The sequence below is a fragment of the Homo sapiens genome, chromosome 19 (assembly GCF_000001405.40).
Source record: "Homo sapiens chromosome 19, GRCh38.p14 Primary Assembly".
NCBI lineage: Eukaryota > Metazoa > Chordata > Mammalia > Primates > Hominidae > Homo > Homo sapiens.
This window is the reverse complement of record NC_000019.10, coordinates 35,567,525-35,587,928: the sequence shown is the minus strand read 5'-3', so window position 1 is coordinate 35,587,928 and position 20,404 is coordinate 35,567,525. Positions and strand designations below refer to the sequence as shown.

Here is a 20,404-nt window from a genome sequence, read left to right as displayed (position 1 = left end):
CCAAAGCTATTTGCATTTCTTGAGGACTTTCCATTCTTCTCCTAAGAGCTTGACATTTGGATGTCAGAAGCTGGAAGAGGTTTCTGTTTTCTTATTGCTGCTCTGAGACACTAGACATCTCCAATCCCAGCTCAAATGAGAAGACCCCTAGAGAATAAACATCAGTTCAGATTTCTAAATATCATCCCCACATTGGCAATTATGCCTGCTTTAGAGACAAAGGAACTATGCTCAAGAAAAGTATCTGTTCAGGGCTATACAGTTTTTCAGTGTCAGAGGTAAGTTTTTAACTGACATCTGCCTGAATTCTATGTCTGTGGGCTTCCCCATTGGGACATTCTGATTTTCACAGTCTAGGAAACAGCTCCAGGGAAACACAGATACTGACCACTGACCCAGAAAACAATCATGGGCATGTTGACACACACACATACACACACACCACAGGAAACCAGAACATTCCATTCCAGTTTTTTGGTTTAAAATTCCTCTGAAAGAACAGCCCAGTGTCAAGGAGCTAAAGGGATCTAGGGCATGAAGTGTGGACCCCTAGGGTGAACGAAGACAGCTCTGGAGCTGAGTGAGTTGAAGTAGCACAGGCAGGTGGTCTGTGTGTTCCTGGGTTGGTGGGTTTCTTGAATGTTGAGTTCCTTGGTTAGAGGATTTCTTGGCTAGATGTCTCAGCGGTTGAATTTCTTGCCTGATGGCTGACTTGGCTGGTTAGTGTTTGGTGAGTGGCTCGGTTGGGGAGCGGACCCCTGGGTTGCTATGCCTAGACTTCATTAATATAGGACCAAGCCATAAATGATGCCTAAGCCAATCATTACCACGAATGCACCGAACCAACCAGTTCGGCCTGAGTTGATGTAAGCCTCTTCCCATTCACTGTTCTGGTTGGCCTTCATAGTCTGTAGGGGTGGAAGCATAGATGTGGGTTTCTGTGTCCAGGAACCCTGGGGAGAACGGTTGGAGACCTGCAGTCACTGAGGGAAAGCCCCTATGCAGGTCCCAGGATAGGAGCAGATGCAGGGGCCAAATGGAGGACAGGGTAGGCTGGGTGCAGTGGCTCACGCCTGTAATGCCAGCACTTTGGGAGGCCAAGGCGGGTGGATCACAAGGTCAGAAGCTCGAGACCAGCCTGGCCAGCATGGTGAAACCCCGTCTCTACTAAAAATACAAAAATGAGCCGGGCACTGTGGCTCATGTCTGTAATCCCAGCTACTCAGGAGGCTGAGGCAGGAGAATTGCTGGAACCGGGAAGGCAGAGATTGCAGTGAGCCGAGATTGCACCACTGCACTCCAGCCTGGGGGACAGAGTGAGACTGGGTCTCAAAAAGAAAAAAAAAAAAAAAAAAGGACGGGGGCTATGACTTGGGCATTATTTTACCTCATAAGAGAAGTACAAAGCTGCCAATCCAAATGGAGGGAATAAAAGTATAGCAAAGATGGTCAAACATAGGTAGTTTGGGGCGTAAAATGCTAGTTCCTCTGGTGTCTGTGTAGGCTCTTGCGGCTCCTGGGGCACCTCAGCTGGGGCACCTGGACCACCTGTGGTAGTGGGAGAACCTGGGGCAGCTGAAGCACCTGGATCACCTGTGGTAGGGGGGGCGTCTGGGGTAGCTGGCGCGTTGGGAGCAGGCTGGGTGGCAGAAGGTGGTTTCAGGGCCATGACCTTTCCCCTCAAAGACGGACTCCGAGTGTCTTGAAAACGGAGCGCCAGACCCACTAGGCTTCCCCTTGTACTAACCAGACTCCCAGGACCCAAACCATCAAAGGCTGAAGCTTCGCAATGGAGAAACCAGCACCCCACGTCCTGATTGGCTGCCTAGTTAGGGGGCGTGGCCCCGCCGTTCTCGCCCACCCCAAGACACAGAGAGTGCAGCCAATCAGGAAGTGGGCTCCGCCCACCCTGGTAGGGATTGGTTGGAAGCCTAAGTGGTGGCTCTCGGCTCCTCCTCCTCCCACTGATCTCTCTCTGCAGCCTGCGCGGATGGGCGATGTCAGGAGGGTCTCCCAGGAGTTGTGGAAGAGAGAAACTAGACACGCCCAGTAAGAGTAAGAGATTTACTGAGGGGAGGAAAATGAGTAGTGTCAGAAGTGGATTGTAAAGTCTTGAATTAAAAATGAATTCCGGCTGGGCGCAGTGGCTCATGCCTGTAATCCCAACACTTTGGGAGGCCAAAGCGGGCGGATTACCTGCGATCAGGAGTTCGAGACTAGCCTGACCAACGTGGTGAAACCCCGTCTCTACTAAAAATACAAAAATTAACCGGGTGTGGTGGCAGGCGCCCGTAATCCCAGCTACTAGGGAGGATGAGGCAGGAGAATCGTTTGAACCCGGGAGGCGGAGGTTGCAGTGATTCGAGATCACACTGCACACTCCAGCCTGGGTGACAGAGTGAGACTCCATCTCAAGAAAAAATGACAAAAAAAAAAAAAAAAAAGAATTCCTTGGTTTATGCTGACAGAAAGAAAAAAGGAAAGAATAGAGAAAGAAGGGGAAAAGGGGGAAGATCTTTCTTAAAGTAGAACACAACCTAATGGAACGATGGAACAGGAAATCCCCAATGTGGTAGGCAGAACTCTGAGATGACCCGAAGATTCCTGCTCCCTGGTGTACACACTCCTTCTCCAGTCACTCAGTCAAGTACTAGTCTGTATGCTGCTGGGAAGGCGTCTTGCAGACGTAGGTAGGGTCTGAAATCAGTTAACTTTAAGTTAGGAAGAATATCCTCTGGGGGCCTCACCTAATGAGGTGAGTTCTTGAAAAGGACTGAGTCTTCCTGGCAAAAGAGGTTTCAGGTGTGAGAGGATTGGAGGCAAGCAAAGGTCTCCATTGCTGGCATGAAGATGTCACCAGGGCCACGTAGGGAGGAATCCAGGCAGCCTCTGGCTGAGAATGGCTCCCAGCTGACAGCCAGCAAGGAAACGGGGTCCTTAGTACTGCAACAGCAAGGATGTGAATCCTGCTGTAATCACATTCATTTGGAAGAGGATCCTGAGCTCCACATGAGAACCCAGCCCAGCTGACACCTTAATTTTAGCTTTGGTAGATTCTGAGCAGAGAAGCAGCCATTCTGACCTACAGAACTGTGAGTTAATACCTGTGGGGAATTTGTTATGCACCATTAGAGAACATTTTCAAATACCATAGTAATTGCTGATTCAGGTAGGAGCTTTTAATGAATGCTAATACTGTGGGGTTTTAGCTGATGCTTCCTTTAGCTGGTGGTTCTAGGGGAGTAGAGGGTTTGAGGAGCCACTTTTCAGGAAGTTGGGGGTGGGTGGGAGGTGACACTGTGCAGTCCACAAATGTAGACCTTAGTATGGCTAGTCCAAGACACAACCTGGGTATTTAAGACCAGTCCTGGACCTAGAAGTAGTTAGAAGAACAGTGACAACACATGCAATCCAGAAGTCAGGATATTCTTCATGGAGGAAATTGATTCAGAGCCTTTCAAAGGACCAAGTGGATGTTCCAGGACAACAGAACATGGGGCGCCGAGGTGGGGGAAGACAGAAGTGAAGGTTGGGTGAGATGAAGCATGTGTATTGGTTGCTGGCAAGTCCCTTGGATAGTGGAACAAACAAACTAAGACAGGCTTAGAAACAAGTACATGGACAAGTGTGTCAAGCCCTGAGACATGTACTCCAGCTCTGAAGGCGGGAATGAATTAGCTCCTTTGGTAAGGGCAGTATCAGAGGATCAGCAGAAGCAGTGGCCATATTGCAGGGATCCAGGCAGTGAGCAAGAAAGGGGTAGTATAGACAATGTAGACATTTCTTCCAAGAGCTTGGAGGCGAAAGAGTAAGGAGAGCAGTGCCACAGCTGAGAAGAACATGGGTTCCAGTTTCTGGAATGTTGTAAGCCAACACCTGGTTTCAGAGAGCCATGGATTGAGTGTGAGGTGTGGAATTGGAGACAGTGTATACATTTGCTTCAAGAATTTTGCCTATGGCTGGGTGCAGTGGCTCATGCCTGTAATCCCAGCACTTTGGGAGGCCAAGGTGGGTGGATCACGAGGTCAGGAGTTCAAGACAAGCCTGGCCAAGATGGTGAAACCCTGTCTCTACTAAAAATACAAAATTTAGCCAGATGTGGTGGTGGGTGCCTGTAATCCCAGCTACTTGGGAAGCTGAGGCAGAAAATTGCTTGAACCCGGGAGGTGGAGTTTGCAGTGAACCAAGATTGTGTCACTGCACTCCAGCCTGGGTGACAGAGTGAGACTCCGTTTCAAAAAAAAAAAAGTTTGCCTATGAAGAGCCAGGAAAGGCAGGACTAGGGTAGATGCAAAAGGGTGAGAATGATGATTTTGCTTGTTTGTTTTAAAGATAGGAGGGACTTGAGCGTATGGAACTGAAATGGAGACTCTGTCAAGATGGTAGCATGGGTCTATGTTCTGCCCCCTTTTTTGTCTCTGGAATTAAAAACCAAAAACCAGATCCATAACTTGAGGGGGCTGAGTGATGAAAGGGTTTTGTTTTTTTAAAAAAAATTTTTGGTGGGAAAGGTGAGAGAGACCATGTCTCAATAAGAGAGAGATATGGGAGAGATGTCTTTTTTTTTTTTTTTTCTTGAGATGGAGTTTTGCTCTTGTTGCCCAGGGCGGAGTGCAATGGTGCAACCTTGGCTCACTGAAACCTCCACCTCCTGGGTTCTAAGTGATTTTCCTGCCTGAGCCTCCCGAGTAGCTGGGATTACAGGTGCCCACCACCATGCTTGGCTTATTTTTGTATTTTTAGTAGATATGGGGTTTCACCACGTTGGCCAGGCTGGTGTTGAACTCCTGACCTCAAGTGATCCACCCACCTTGGCCTCCCAAAGTGCTAGGATTACAGGAATGAGCCACCATGCCCAGCCAGGAGAGATGTCTTAATGGGGGCGAGGTAGTTCTTTTATACTGTCTATAGCTCTAACACCTAGAGCAGAGCCCAACACATAGTAGTAGGTGCTCAGTAAACATGGGCTGAATAAACACACCTTGGAACTAGACTACCTAGGTTTGGATCCCCACCATGCCACTAACTAGCAATATCACCTTGTGCAACCTCTCTGTGTACCAGTTTTCTCATCTTTAAAATGAGAATAATAATTATTTCTCTCTTGTTTCATTGTGAGGATTAAATTAATGTATGTAAGTGGTATTGAACAGTGCATGGAACAAAATGTGCACTCTATAAGGTGATAATGGCTAAGGGGAGAGGATCACATGAGACCAGGATAGTGAAACCTAGCCCGATCAATACAGTGGGACCATGTATCTAGAAAAAAAATGTATATATTTTAGACAGATATATATATATATCAGGCTCTGAGGGCAGGCTTCTGTATTCTCAGCTGCTTGGGAGGGTGTGATGGGAGGTTTGCTTTTGCTCAGGAATTTGAGGCTGTGGTGAGCCATGGTCGCACCCCTCTACTCCAGCCTGGACAAGAGGGAGACCTTGTCTCAAGAAAAAAAAAGAGATAATAATGATGAATGAGTGGGGTTCAGAGCATGTGAGAATCATTTGAAAATAATGGCCAGGAGTTCAAGATTGGCCTGGCCAACATGGTGAAACCTGTCTCTACTAAAAATACAAAAATTAGCTGGGCTTGGTGGTGGTTACCTGTAGCCCCAAGCTACTTGGGATGCTGAGGCAGGAGAATTGCTTGAGCCCGGGAGGCAGAGGTTGCAGTGAGCTGAGATCATGCCACTGCACTCCAGCCTGGGTGACAGAGCGAGGCTCCATCTCCAAAAAGAAAAAAAAAAAAAAAGAGAGAGAGAGAGAGATCCAATTGTTCTAGCACCATTTGTTGGATCTCCTTTTCACATTGAATGGTTTTGCCACTTTTGTCAAAAATCACTTGACCATAAATATGAAAGTTATTTCTGGACTTTCAATTTTGCTTCATTGAGCTATACGTCCATCCTTATGCCAGTACCACACTGTCTTTATTCCTATAGCTTTGTAATCAGGAATAAATTTTGAAATTGGTAACTGGAAGTCCTCCAACTTTATTTTACTTTTTCAACATTGCTAGGTTATTCTGCATCCTTTTCATTTCCACATGACTTTTAGGATCAACTTGTCAAATTCTGCAAAAAAAAAAAAACAAGCCAGTTGAGGTTTCGATAAAGATTGCATTGACTCTTTAGGTCAATTAGGGGAGTACTGCCATTTTGCTAACATTGAGTTTTCCAAACCATGAACATGGGATGCCACTCCATTTATTTAGATCTTTAAATTTTTAAAGGAATGATTTATAGTTTGTTTGTTTGCTTGTTTGTTTGTTTTTTTGAGGCAGAGTCTCACTCTATTGCCCAGGCTGGAGTGCAGCGGCGTGATCTCGGCTCACTGCAAGCTCCGCCTCCCAGGTTCATGCCATTCTCCTGCCTCAGCCTCCCGAGTAGCTGGGACTACAGGCGCCTGCCACTACGCCCGGCTAATTTTTTTGTATTTTTAGTAGAGACGGGGTTTCACCGTGTTAGCCAGGATGGTCTCGATCTCCTGACCTCATGATCCGCCCACCTCGGCCTCCCAAAGTGCTAGGATTACAGGCGTGAGCCATCACGCCGCCAGCCAAGATTTATAGTTTTTATTGTACAACTCTTGTATTTTTGTTAAATTTATTACTTTTTTTAATTGAATTTCTTCTTTTTTTTTTTTTGAGATAGCCTCTCTCTGTTACCCAAGCTGGAGTGCAGTGGTGCGATCGTGGCTCACTGCAACCTTCACTTCCCAGGTTCAAGCAATTCTCCTGCCTCAGCCTCCCAAGTAGCTAGGATTACAGGCACCCGCCACCATGCCCAGCTGATTTTTGTATTTTTTTTTAGTAGAGACAGGGTTTCACCATGTTGCCCAAACTCGTCTTGAAGTCCTGACTTCAGATGATCTGCCCGCCTCGGCCTAACAAAGTGCTGGGATTACAGGCATAAGTCACCACGCCCAGCCTGAATTTATTATTCTTTTTGATCCTATTGGGAATGAATTCATTTTATTAATTTCATTTTTTGATTGTTCATTGGTAGCTTATTGACATACAATTGATTTTTGGATATTGATCTTGTGCAGCATTGCTGGACTCATTTCTTCTAGTAGTTATTTGTGGATTCATTAGAGTTTTCTACAAGCAAATTTAAGTCAACTGTGGGTCAAAACAGTTTTTTCTTCTTCCTTTCCAACCCAGATGCCTTTTATTTCTTTTTATTGACTAATTGTACTGGCTAGGACCTCCACTATACTGTTGAATAAAAGTGGTGAGAATGAACATTCTTGTTTTGTTCCCTATCTTAGCCAGGAAGAATTTAGTCTTTCTTTTCTTTTATTTATTTATTTTTTTTGAGACAGAGTCTTGCTCTGTCGCCCAGGCTGGAGTGCAGTGGCATGATCTCGGCTCACTGCAAGCTCCACCTCCTGGGTTCATGCCATTCTCCTGCCTCAGCCTCCCGAGTAGCTGGGACTACAGGCACCCGCCACCACGCCTGGCTGATTTTTTTGTATTTTTTAGTAGAGACGGGGTTTCACCGTGTTAGCCAGGATGGTCTCGATCTCCTGACCTCGTGATCCACCTGCCTTGGCCTCCCAAAGTGCTGGGATTACAGGCGTGAGCCACCGCGCCCACCCGGAAATTAGTCTTTCACTCCAGCCTGGGCGACAGAGTGAGACTCCATCTCAAAAAAAAAAAAAGTGTCTTCTTTTACAGGGGCAGGTGCAACGGCTCACATCTGTAATCCCAACACTCTGGGAGGCCAAGGCAGGAGGATTGCTTGAGCCCAGGAGTTTGAGGCTGCAGTGAGCTGCAATCTCACCTGGGTGACAGAGTGAGACCCCATCTTTAAAATAAATGAATAAAATTTATTCTTTTACTATGGTGTGTTACATTAATTGATTTTCAGAAGTTAAACCAATCTTGCATTTCTGGGGTAAATCCCACTTGATCATGGTGTATAACCCTTTTTATATATTGCTGTATTGGGCTTACTGATATTTTACCAATGACTTTTATATCATATTTATGAAAGAGATTGGTCTCTAGTTGTCTTGAGATGCCACTGTCTGGCTTTGATATTAGGGTAATACTGACCTCATATAATAAGCTGGGAAAGTGCTCCCTTTCTCCATATTTTGGAACAGATTGTAGAGAATTAATATTATTTATGCTTTAATGTTTTGTGAAATTCACCAATGAAACCATCTAGGCCTGAGCTTTTCTTTGCGGGAGTATTTTAAATTACAAATCTCTTTTTATTTGTTATACATCTATTCAGATTTTCTATTTCTTCTTGAGTTGGTTTTGGTAATTCATCTAAGAATTTTTAGCTGTCATCTAAGCTGTCTAATTTGTTGCCATACGTTGCTTGTGATATTCCCCTTTATTTATTTATTTATTTTTAAATTTTCGAGATGGAGTCTCGCTCTGTTGCCTAGGCTGGAGTGCAGTGGCACAATCTTGGCTCACTGCAACCTCTGCTTCCCGGGTTTAAGAGATTCTCCTGCCTCAGCCTCCCGAGTAGCTGGGATTACAGGTGCGTGCCACCATGCCCAGTTAATTTTTCCTGTTTTTAGTAGAGACAGGGTTTCACCATGTTGCCCAGGCTGGTCTGGAATTCCTGACCTCAGGTGACCCTATCTGCCTGCCTTGGTCTTCCAAAGTGCTGGGATTACAGGCGTGAGCCACCGTGCCTGGCCTCATGTCTTCTCTTTTTAGACCATATAGGGTAACTTCCTGATGTTGCCATGGCATTTGTAAGCTGCCATGGCGCTGGTGGGAGTGTCTCTTAGCATGCTAATGCATTCTAATTAGTGTATAATGAGCAGTGGGGATGACCACAGGTTACTCTCATCGCCACTTTTTGTTTTTGGTGGGTTTTAGCTGGCTTCTTTACTGTAACCTGTTTTATCAGCAAAGTCTTTATGATCTGTATTTTGTGCCAACCTCCTATCTCATCGTGTGACTTAGAATGCCTTAGCTGTCTGGGAATGCAGCCCAGTAGACGTCAGCCTCATTTTACTCAGCCCCATTCAAGATGGAGTTGCTCTGGTTCACATGCCTCTGACGCTAGCAAGTGCTTTCAATTTGATTCGAAGACTCAATGTCTGTTTTTAGGTTACATGAAACTATTTTATTTTTTCCCGTTGTTCCTTTTGCTATTTTCAGAGCTGGTTTCTCTTTCTTGCTTTCTTGAAACTCTCTTGGTTTCTGCCATTGGCCTTCACGTAGCTCCCTGTTTCTTCTCTACCAGCCCCCAAAAGCCACGGCTCCTGGATCTCAGGGGTCCTGGTGGGGCCCAGGCAGGAGAGGAGCATCCAAGTATGCAGGAGCACACAGCCAATGGCTGTGGGAAATGTGGTAAGAGCCCCACCAGAAAAACAGCAAAGGAGCCAGTCTGGAGTTAAAACTCAAGGAAAGTGTTCCCTGTTCACTCCATCCATGCCAATATCTATTATTTTTTGAGTTTTTGATTATGGCCATTCTTGCAGGAATAAGGTGGTATCGCATTGTGGTTTTGATTTGCATTTCCCTGATTGCTGGTGGGAATGTAAACTAGTATAACTATGGAAAACAGTGTGGAGATTCCTTAAAGAACTAAAAGTAGAACTACCATTTGATCCAGCAATCCCACTACTGGGTATCTACTCAAAGGAAAAGAAGTCATTATGTGAAAAAGATACTTGTACACACATGTTTATAGCAGCACAATTTGCAATTGCAAAAATGTGGAGCCAACCCAGATGCCCATCAATGAATGAGTGGATAAAGAAACTGATTTTACATATATATATGGTGGAATACTACTCAGCCATGAAAAGGAATGAATTAATGGCATTCACAGCAACCTGGATGGGATTGGAGACTATTATTCTATCTGAGTTATGGTCTTGTCTGCCTTAGTTACCATGTGGCCCTCAGGGGCCAGCCTGGGCCTAATGTACAGTAGCCTCCTAATAGTGATAAATCTGCCCATTATACTTATATTCAATCTGGATGTGAGATCCACACACTATATATTGAACCCATCAGGCGTTCAAACTGGCAACAACAACAAAAAGGAAGAGTGGCTGGGCACAGTGATTCACGCCTGTAATCCCAACATTTTGGGAGGCCGAGGCAGGAGGATTGCTTGAGGCCAGGAGTTCAAGACCAGACTGGGCAACATAGTGAGACCTCTACAAAAAATAAATAAATAGGCCGGGCACAGTGGCTCACGCCTGTAATTCCAGCACTTTGGGAGGCTGAGAAAACAGTGGGGGTGTGTGAGTTTGCGGGGCAAGGAGGGGTAGGGAGAGTTTAGAGGAGGAAAGTGCAACAGCCAGAGGGGAGCAGGGAGGGGGTTGTGAGAGGCTAGAGGAGGGTGGCGTGGGTGTTCCAGAGCCAGCAAGGCTACTCTACAGGAGCACGGGGCTGTGGTGGGTTCTGGCTTGGAGCGCTGTCCCCTGGCTTGGGACAGTGTCAACTTTCAGTACCTTTCTAGCCAGAGGGGTTGGTTTGGGTGGTCTCAGTTGCTTGGGGACTCAGATGTCCCCTTCCCGGACCCCATGACCCCTGTCTGCAGATTCCACTCACCCAGCATCTCCTCCTCAGGCCAAGGCCTATGGCTACTGCAATGAGCCCCAGGGACTTGAAGTCCCTGGTCACCCCGATGCAGCCACTCATCCCCATGCAGCCCTTCATCCCAGTGCAGCTGCTCGCCCCAATGCAACCAGTCACCCTGATGCCCTTGTGTCCTCCAGAAAGAGACTATTTACTGCTCGCTGTCGTATCCTTCTTCTGCGTCCTGCTGGCAATCCCCGCTCTGGTGTTCTCCCTCAGGATGGGCACCACCCAGCTACCAACTCTCTTTGTCCCCAGATCTTCTTTCTCTTTCCTGCCGATGCCCTGCTTCTCCCCAGGGACCTCTTCGTGTTTCTCGGGGATTTGCCTCCTCCCTCTTCACCATCTGCTTGCCCTTGCACCTCTCCAGGGCCACCTCTCTGCTCCTCCCTCTGTATTCTGCCTAGATCTACTCCCTCATCCTGGCTCCCTGGTTTCTTCCTTTTTCCTCTGGGAGACTGAGCCCTGCCCTGACCTCCATCATGCCATCATCCTGATCTTGCCCTCTTCACCTCTCCCCAGGGATTTTCTTCCCCCTCCCCATCTTGGAAACATTCACACCAGCTTGCCTTTACCCCCACAGACCCAGGAAGCCAACTTCCTTGGGAATCAGAGAAAAGCACAGATCAATTCCAGACTACTTTTTGGATTCAGCATCACCAGCATCCTGGTGGGCTGCATTGTGATCATTTGCTCCATTGTGATCAAAAGCTTGAAACAGAAAATAGGAAAGCCTGCCTCCCTCAGTGAGTAATGGACTGTTCCCCCTGGAGCATTTGAACTAGGACATCAGTGACTGCCTGTGTTGGAGGAAGTCCCCCCTCCTGTCCAGGAGACAGGATTGCTCAGTTATTACTCCTGCCTTATATTAAGATTGGAAATAGTAAAATAAAAAGAATAGGAGAGTTTGGAAGCACTGATCCGACAGGAAAGGCTGCATATTGGGCAAGTCAGGTCTCAGAAAACAGACCTGTGTGTAAGGCCATTATTCAAGGAAAACAGTTTGAAGGGTTAGTAGACACTGGAGCAGATGTCTCTATCATTGCTTTCAATCAGTGGCCAAAAAATTGGCCTAAACAAAGGCTGTTATAGGACTTATCGGCGTAGGCACAGCCTCAGAAGTGTATCAAAGTACTAAGATTTTACATTGTTTAGGGTCAGATAATCAAGAAAGTACTGTTCAGCCAATGACTACTTCGATTCCTCTTAATCTGTGGGGTCGAGATTTATTACAACAACGGGGTGCGGAAATCACTATGCCTGCTCCATTATACAGCCCCGCAAATCAAAAAATCATGACTGAGATGGGATATATACCAGGAAAGGGACTAGGAAAAAATGAAAATGGCATTAAAGTCCCAATTGAGACTAAAAGAAATTAAGAAAGAGAAGGAATAGGGTATCCTTTTTAGGGGCAACTCACCTCTTCATCTGGCACCCAGCATGGGGCACGAATCCACAACCCTGAGATTAAGAGTCTTATGCTCTACCGACTGAGCTAGCTGGGCTTCTTGCCCATTTAAAGTTTGAGAATAGGTTGAGATCGTTTCGGCCCCAAGACCTCTAAGGCACTCACATTCCATTGACTGCTGGCGATGGCCGGGTATGGGCCTGATGCTCCAGTGCCATCCATTTTCAGGGCTAGTTGATTCGGCAGGTGAGTTGTTACACACTCCTTAGTGGATTCTGACTTCCATGGCCACCGTCCTGCTGTCTATATCAACCAACACCTTTTCTGGGGTCTGATGAGCGAGTAATCAAAACTCAATATCAATTGACTCAAAGAGCAGAGTTGGTTGCAGTCATTACAGTGTTACAAGATTTTGATCAACCTATCAATATTGTATCAGATTCTGCATATGTAGTACAGGCTACAAGGGATGTTGAGACAGCTCTAATCAAATATAGCATGGATGATCAGTTAAACCAGCTATTCAATTTATTACAACAAACTGTAAGAAAAAGAAATTTCCCATTTTATGTTACTCATATTCGAGCACACACTAATTTACTAGGGCCTTTGACTAAAGCAAATTAACAAGCTGACTTACTGGTATCATCTGCATTCATAAAAGCACAAGAACTTCATGCTTTAACTCATGTAAATGCAGCAGGATTAAAAAACAAATTTGATGTCACATGGAAACAGGCAAAAGATACTGTACCACATTGCACCCAGTGTCAAGTCCTACACCTGCCCACTCAAGAGGCAGGAGTTAATCCCAGAGGTCTGTGTCCTAATGTGTTATGGCAAATGGATGTCACACATGTACCTTCATTCGGAAGATTATCATATGTTCATGTAACAGTTGATACTTATTCACATTTCATATGGGCAACTTGCCAGACAGGAGAAAGTACTTCTTATGTTAAAAAACATTTATTATCTTGTTTTGCTGTAATGGGAGTTCCAGAAAAAATCAAAACTAACAATGGACCAGGATACTGTAGTAAAGCTTTCCAAGAAAATTACACATACAACAGGAATTCCCTATAATTCCCAAGGACAGGCCATAGTTGAAAGAACTAATAGAACACTCAAAACTCAATTAGTTAAACAAAAAGAAGGGGGAGACAGTAAGGAGTGTACCACTCCTCAGATGCAACTTAGTCTAGCACTCTATACTTTAAATTTTTTAAACATTTATAGAAATCAGACTACTACTTCTGCAGAACATCTTACTGGTAAAAAGAACAGCCCACATGAAGGAAAACTGATTTGGTGGAAAGATAATAAAAATAAGACATGGGAAATATGGAAGGTGGTAACGTGGGGGAGAGGTTTTGCTTGCGTTTCACCAGGAGAAAATCAGCGTCCTGTTTGGATACCCACTAGACATTTGAAGTTCTACAATGAACCCATCAGAGATGCAAAGAAAAGCACCTCCACGGAGACGGAGACACCGCAATCGAGCACCGTCATCGAGAACCATCGACTCAGAAGATGAACAGAATGGTGATGTCAGAAGAACAGATGAAGTTGCCATCCACCAAGAAGGCAGAGCTGCTGACTTGGGCACAATTAAAGAAGCTGACACAGTTAGCTACAAAATATCTAGAGAACACAAAGGTGACACAAACTCCAGAGAGTATGCTGCTTGCAGCTTTGATGATTGTATCAATGGTGGTAAGTCTCCCTATGCCTGCAGGAGCAGCTGCAGCTAATTATAATTACTGGGCCTATGTGCCTTTCCCGCCCTTAATTCAGGCAGTCACATGGATGGATAATCCTATGGAAGTATATGTTAATGATAGTGTATGGGTACCTGGTCCAACAGATGATCGTTGCCCTGCCAAACCTGAGGAAGAAGGGATGATGATAAATATTTTCATTGGGTATCATTATCCTCCTATTTGCCTGGGGAGAGCACCAGGATGTTTAATGCCTGCAGTCCAAAATTGGTTGGTAGAAGTACCTACTGTCAGTCCCATCAGAAGATTCACTTATCACATGGTAAGCGGGATGTCGCTCAGGCCACAGGTAAATTATTTACAAGACTTTTCTTATCAAAGATCATTAAAATTTAGACCTAAAGGGAAACCTTGCCCCGAGGAAATTTCCAAAGGATCAAAAAATGTAGAAGCTTTAGTTTGGGAAGAATGTGTGGCCAATAGTGCAGTGATATTACAAAACAGTGAATTCCGAACTATTATAGATTGGGCACCTCGAGGTCAATTCTACCACAATTGCACAGGACAAACTCAGTCGTGTCCCAGTGCACAAGTGAGTCCAACTGTTGATAGCGACTTCATAGAAAGTTTAGACGAACATAAGCATAAAAAATTACAGTCTTTCTACCCTTGGAAATGGGGAGAAAAAGGAATCTCTACCCCATGACCAAAAATAATAAGTCCTGTTTCTGGTCCTGAACATCCAGAATGGTGGAGGCTTAGTGTAGCCTCATACTACATTAGAATTTGGTCTGGAAATCAAACTTTAGAAACGAGATCATAAGCCATTTTATACTATCGACCTAAATTCCAGTCTAACAGTTCCTTTACAAAGCTGTGTAAAGTCCCTTTATATGCTAGTTATAGGAAATATAGTTATTAAACCAGACTCTCAAACTATAACCTGTGAAAACTGCAGATTGTTTACTTGCATTGATTCAACTTTTAATTGGCAACACCGTATTCTGCTGGTGAGAGCAAGGGAAGGCGTGTGGATCCTTGTGTCCATGGACCGACTGTGGGAGGCCTCACCATCCGTTCATATTTTGACTGAAGTATTAAAAGGCGTTTTAAATAGATCCAAAAGATTCATTTTTACTTTAATTACAGTGATTATGGGATTAATTGCAGTCACAGCTATGGCTGCTGTGGCAGGAGTTGCATTGCACTCTTCTGTTCAGTCAGTAAACTTTGTTAATGATTGGCAAAAAAGTTCTACAAGATTGTGGAATTCACAATCTAGTATTGATCAAAAATTGGCAAACCAAATTAATGATCTTAGACAAACTGTCATTTGGATGGGAGACAGGCTCATGAGCTTAGAACATCGTTTCCAGTTACAGTGTGACTGGAATACGTCAGATTTTTGTATTACACCCCAAGTTTATAATGAGTCTGAGCATCACTGGGACATGGTTAGACGCCATCTACAGGGAAGAGAAGATAATCTCACTTTAGACATTTCCAAATTAAAAGAACAAATTTCCAAAACATCAAAAGCCCATTTAAATTTGGTGCCAGGAACTGAGGCAATTGCAGGAGTTGCTGATGGCCTCGTAAATCTTAACCCTGTCACTTGGGTTAAGACCATCGGAAGTACTATAATTATAAATTTCATATTAATCCTTGTGTGCCTGTTCTGTCTGTTGTTAGTCTGCAGGGGTACCCAACAGCTCCGAAGAGACAGCGACCATCGAGAAAGAGCCATGATGACGATGGCGGTTTTGTTGAAAAGAAAAGGGGGAAATATGGGGAAAAGAAAGAGAGATCAGATTGTTACTGTGTCTGTGTAGAAAGAAGTAGACACAGGAGACTCCATTTTGTTCTGTACTAAGAAAAATTCTTCTGCCTTGAGATGCTATTAATCTGTAACCCACCCCTTCATCCATCAGCATTTTTAAGAGCAGTAAAGTTTATGAGGAGGTTTCCACTTTCTGATTCATCTGTTGCATGCACGTATGTGTGCCCACATGTTCACATCTCCTGTGTGTCCACGTTGCCAGATACCATGGGACTCTCATATATTCAATGAACATTTATTGGGTAACAGTGCCAGGCACTGTTTTAAGCCTCAGTGGTTCAGCACTGATTCAGGCAGATGAGGTACAATTCAAGATGAGATTTGGGTGGGGACACAGCAAATCATATCAGATGTATACCACTTTTATCTTTTATACTGTACTTTTACTGTATCTTTTCTATGTTCAGATATGTTTAGATACACAAATACTTACCATTGTGTTATAAGTTGCCTACAGTATTCAATACAGTAAGGTGCTGTGCAGGTTTGTAGCCTAGGAGCAAAAGGCTATCCCATATAGCCTAGGTGTGCAGTAGGCTCTCCATTTAGGTTTGTGTGAGTACAAGCTATGATGTTCAAACAATGATGACATCACCTAACAATGCATTTCTCAGAACTTATCCCCATTGAGTGACTGGATTTCTCAGAACTTATCCCCATTGAGTGACTGGATTAAAGCAATGAGTGACTGGATTTAAAATTCAAACTGAGCATTTTTTAGACTGAAAGGGGAGTTCAGAATAACTTGCTAGGACCAGACCTAACTGGAAGCACTGGCAAACCAAGAGGTAGTGCTTCCTGGAGAACAGGGATGGGTTTAGGGAGACAGAAGAAGACAACAGGGGTTGGGCACGGTGGCTCATGCCTGTAATCCCAGTACTTTGGGAGACCAAGGTGGGTGATTTACTTGAGGTCAGGAGTTTGAGACCAGCCTAGCCAACATGGTGAAACCCTGCCTCTATTAAAAATACAAAAATTAGCTGGGCATGGTGGTGCATGCTTGTAATCCCAGCTACTCAAGAAGCTGAGGTGGGAGGATCCCAACCTAGGAGGTGGAGGTTGTTGTGAGCTGAGATCACACCGCTGCACTCCAGCCTGGGTGACAGAGTGAGACTCCATCTCAAAAAAAAAAAAAAAAAAAGCAGCCAACAGGATACTTTGAGGGCTAGCAAGGGTATCATAGAGGTCAGTGGGGGCATTGCAGGGTTCTTTTCCCACAACAAAGGCCAAGTTCACTGTGGGTTGAGTGTTCCCAGCACATTCCTGTTGATGGGATTGATTCTGTTGGTCCCCATTCCTTCGCATCTGCTGATCCTTCTCAGTCCTTCTGCAGACCCTGCCCCTCCCTCCACCAGGGTTCATGCCTGTGTGACTGACCTCCGGAGCCCAGAGGTCAAAGTCATGGAGATGACCATCTACAAAATGCCTTTAAGTGTTCCTGTGAATGACTGCCTGCCTCTCTGCATCTTTTTCATCTTTTGTTTCTTCCTGCTAGGAATACTTGCCATTGTGCCATCCTGCTTGGTGGGTGGAGAGTGACCCTCTGTCCCCCATGGTGAAACATCCCCTGACCCACCTTATACCCCTTTCCATGGATGCCTCGGAAGCTTCCCCTCTTCTCTAGATACCAGCCCCAACCCCTTCTCCATCCCACCCTTCCTGCTGCCCTGGGACTTGTCCCCACTTTGTTCACAGTCTGCCAACCCCACTTCTTCCCAAGGTCTCCCAGCATGCCCTCCTACCTGGGCGTGCCCAGGATCCCCGCACTGTCTTCCTGCATTGCCTCCTCCTCTCCTCTGCTGAATCCTCCCTCCCCCAACCCTGATCATGGCCTTCAGTTTCACTCCAGGTGGCCCTTCTGCAATTTCACCCCTTCTTAGAAAAACACCCCCATCGGCCTGTCTTCATCTCCATAGGCACGGATAGTGAGCCGTTTGGAAAACGAGGTCAGCACAAAGAGAAATTCCAGGCTAGCTTTGGGCTTCAGCATCAGGGCCATCGTTCTGAGCTTGTTAATGATCCTGCAGGTTCTTGTGACAGCAGACAGCCCAGAAGCAGGAGACCCACGAGCCAGAAGCCCTCTTGCAATCGCCCTGTACCCTTCACAGTTCTAGGAACCACAAGGCCTCCTTGCTCCCCTGGGAATCTTTGAGCTTGGATTTGGACATCAGCGCTCTGCCCTTGCCCCATCCCATGGAGGAAGTCTCTCCACCAGTACCCTTATTTTTTTTATTTTTATTTTTTTTTTGAGCTGGAGTCTCATTCTGTTGCCCAGGCTGGAGTGCAGTGGCACAATCTCGGCTCACTGCCACCTCCACCTCCCAGGTTCCAGTGATTCTCCTGCCTCAGCCTCCCGAGTATCTGGGATTACAGGCGCCCGCTACCATGCCTGGCTGATTTTTGTATTTTTAGCAGAGACGGGGTTTCACCATATTGGCCAGGCTGGTCTCAAACTCCTGATCTCAGGTGATCTGCCCACCTCGGCCTCACAAAGTGCTGGGATTACAGGTGTGAGCCACTGCGCCCGGCCCTGAATATGATTTTTTAAAATCCCAGAGCAAGTACAGCCTGGAAATTTCCTGAAGAAGTGAAGGGCTCTGCACCCAGCCCAGGATGGCTGACCTTTCCAATCTGCACAAAGATGGGAGAGGGACAGAACGCAGGGGCCTGGCTGCCAGCTTAGCTGGGCTGGGGGCCAACTCCTTGACTCCTAGACAATTTTTTCAATTCTGACCACCTGCCCCTGCACCTGGCCTGGAGAGGCGGGAGAAGCAAGGTCCCTGTATGCCCAGCCCCTTGCTTTCATCCTCCCAGGGTCGAGGGGGCGGGGTGACCTGCTCAGGAGGTGAAGGGCATTGCTGGGCCCATTATCTTATCAGGGAGATGCAAACACTGTACCCAAAGTCACAGTCACAATGACTCCTGTCACTTGGCAAACACTCCCCAAGGCCAGCCTGGGCCAGGCAATGCAGGGCACACAGTGGTGACTGAGACATCCTGGGTCCTGCCCTCATGGATCTGGAGGGGGAGATGAAATGTCACCAAAGCATGACAGCCCAGAGTGGTCAGGGCTGTGATGGAGGAATTATAGGGTCAGAGTCGTCAGGACTGGGATGGGGGAAGCACAGGCAGGGAGGTGGGGGCTGTGATGGGGACCCCAGGGGTCTGTGGAAGCCCAGGGAGGTGCCTGACTCAGCCTGGTGGGTAGTCCAAGGCTTCCCGGAGGAAGGATCATCTGTGCTTAACAGGAAAGGTGAGGAGTGGTTAAACATGGGGAGGAGGTAGGGTGCACACTTCAGGTAGAGGAAATTGCATGTGCTGAGGTTTTGAAATGATCCTTTGGAAAAGCAGAAGGCCTGGGCGGGCAGGATCCCAAAGCATGAAAGGGAAAAGTAGAACATGGGAAGGAGGAGGAATAGCCAGGGGTCTGATCCCATCAAGGTTTACAGGGCGCTGGGTTCCTAAGAGTGTGTATGGCTACAATTCTAGGACATTATTGTTCAAATTCCCCTTCAAACCCAAGTAATGTTCACCATCCACATTTTTTTTTTTTTTTGAGACGGAGTTTTGTTCTGTCGCCCAGGCTGGAGTGCAGTGGTGCAATCTTGGCTCACTGCAACCTGCGCCTCCCAGATTCAAGAGGTTCTCCTGCCTCAGCCTCCCGAGTTGCTGGGACTACAGGCACCCGCCACTGCACTTGGCAAATTTTTTTATTTTTTATTTTTTATTTTTTTTGAGATGCAGTCTCACTCTGTCACCCAGGCTGGAGTGCAATGGCGCAATCTTGGCTCACTGCAACCTCCACCTCCCAGGTTCAAGCGATTCTTCTGCCTCAGCCTCCTGAGTAGCTGGGATTACAGGCATGCGCCACCATGCCCAGCTGATTTTTGTATTTTTAGTAGAGACGGGGTTTTACCCTGTTGGTCAGGCTGGTCTTGAACTCCTGACCTCGTGATCCACCCACCTTGGCCTCCCAAAGTGCTGGGATTACAGGCGTGAGCCACTGCGCCCGGCCAGATTTTTGTATTTTTAGTAGAGGCAGGGTTTCACCATGCTGGCCAGGCTGGTCTCGAACTCCTGACCTCCAGTGATATGCCCGCCTCAGCCTCCTAGTGCTGGGATTACAGGTATGAGCCACTGCTCCTGGACCACCGTCCATTTAATAGTCTGTCCTCTGCCCCTCTTTCTCAAGAAAAGAAAATTTTTTTCAATTCTGACCACTAATTGTTCTCAAAAAAGTTTCCAACGTTCTGTGTGCCCCAGGCTCAGAGAAACTTGCACTACTGTGGACCATGTCACACTTGCAACATTCTTGTGAGAAGTTTCTTTGCCCCTGAGTTGTGCTAGGGGTTGTCCATCCGCCTGAAATGGCATCGTGCGGTCCACCCAGGCTGCATTCCAGGGTGCCAAAGACTTGGAACACTTCCCAACTTATCCAGATCCTGCCTGTGGACTAAGGCCTCAGTGTTCACCTCCCAGAGACAGGGGTTAGTATTGCTTAGACACACGGTAAAATAATAAATGACCCAAGCAAAGACCTTCCCCACAAAAACACACAACTTGCATACCATCTGAAGACTGCAAAATTAGGGGAGTAGGTAAAAGTATTTACCCATGAACCTAGCTGAGCAGGGGATGGTCAGAATGGACAAGGGTGGCTGGGCGTGGTGGCTCACACCTGTTATCCCAGCATTTTGGGAGGCTGAAGTGGGCAGATTACTTGAGGTAAGAAGTTGGAGACCAGCCTGGCCAACATGGCAAAACCCCATCTCTACTAAAAATACAAAAATTAGCTGGGCATGGTGGTACGTGCCTGTAGTCCCAGCTACTTGGGAGGCTGAGGCAGGAGAATCGCTTGA

The 20,404-nt window shown here is 46.3% G+C and overlaps 1 protein-coding gene and 1 long non-coding RNA gene across 3 annotated transcripts; both read right to left on the bottom strand.

The window, feature by feature from the left end:
- Nucleotides 1-632: 632 nt before the first annotated feature.
- Nucleotides 633-1,768, bottom strand: PMIS2 (PMIS2 transmembrane protein). Of its 2 annotated transcripts, none has more exons than NM_001395412.1 (2): nucleotides 1,388-1,756; nucleotides 633-953 (listed from the first exon to the last, which is right to left on the bottom strand). In NM_001395412.1, the coding sequence occupies exons 1-2, from the start codon at nucleotides 1,667-1,669 to the stop codon at nucleotides 783-785; spliced, it is 453 nt and encodes a 150-aa protein (NP_001382341.1). In that variant the 5' UTR covers nucleotides 1,670-1,756; the 3' UTR covers nucleotides 633-782. The 2 variants fall into 2 exon arrangements, with proteins under 2 accessions (NP_001382341.1, NP_001382340.1); NM_001395411.1 differs by having other exon boundaries at nucleotides 723-908; nucleotides 1,388-1,768.
- Nucleotides 1,769-5,972: 4,204 nt separating this feature from the next.
- On the bottom strand, nucleotides 5,973-12,288 carry LOC124904704 (uncharacterized). The gene is made up of 2 exons (XR_007067243.1): nucleotides 12,150-12,288; nucleotides 5,973-6,077 (listed from the first exon to the last, which is right to left on the bottom strand). It is a non-coding gene; the product is annotated as an uncharacterized LOC124904704 (long non-coding RNA).
- Between the last annotated feature and the right edge of the window lie 8,116 nt (nucleotides 12,289-20,404).

Excerpts from the sequence above, each read along its gene's own strand:
- PMIS2 (NM_001395412.1), bottom strand. The coding sequence starts at position 1,669 with ATGGCCCTGAAACCACCTTCTGCCACCCAGCCTGCTCCCAACGCGCCA. Across the intron at positions 954-1,387 it reads CTTTGTACTTCTCTTATGAG|GGTTCCTGGACACAGAAACC; the intron begins GTAAAATAATGC and ends CGTTCTCCCCAG.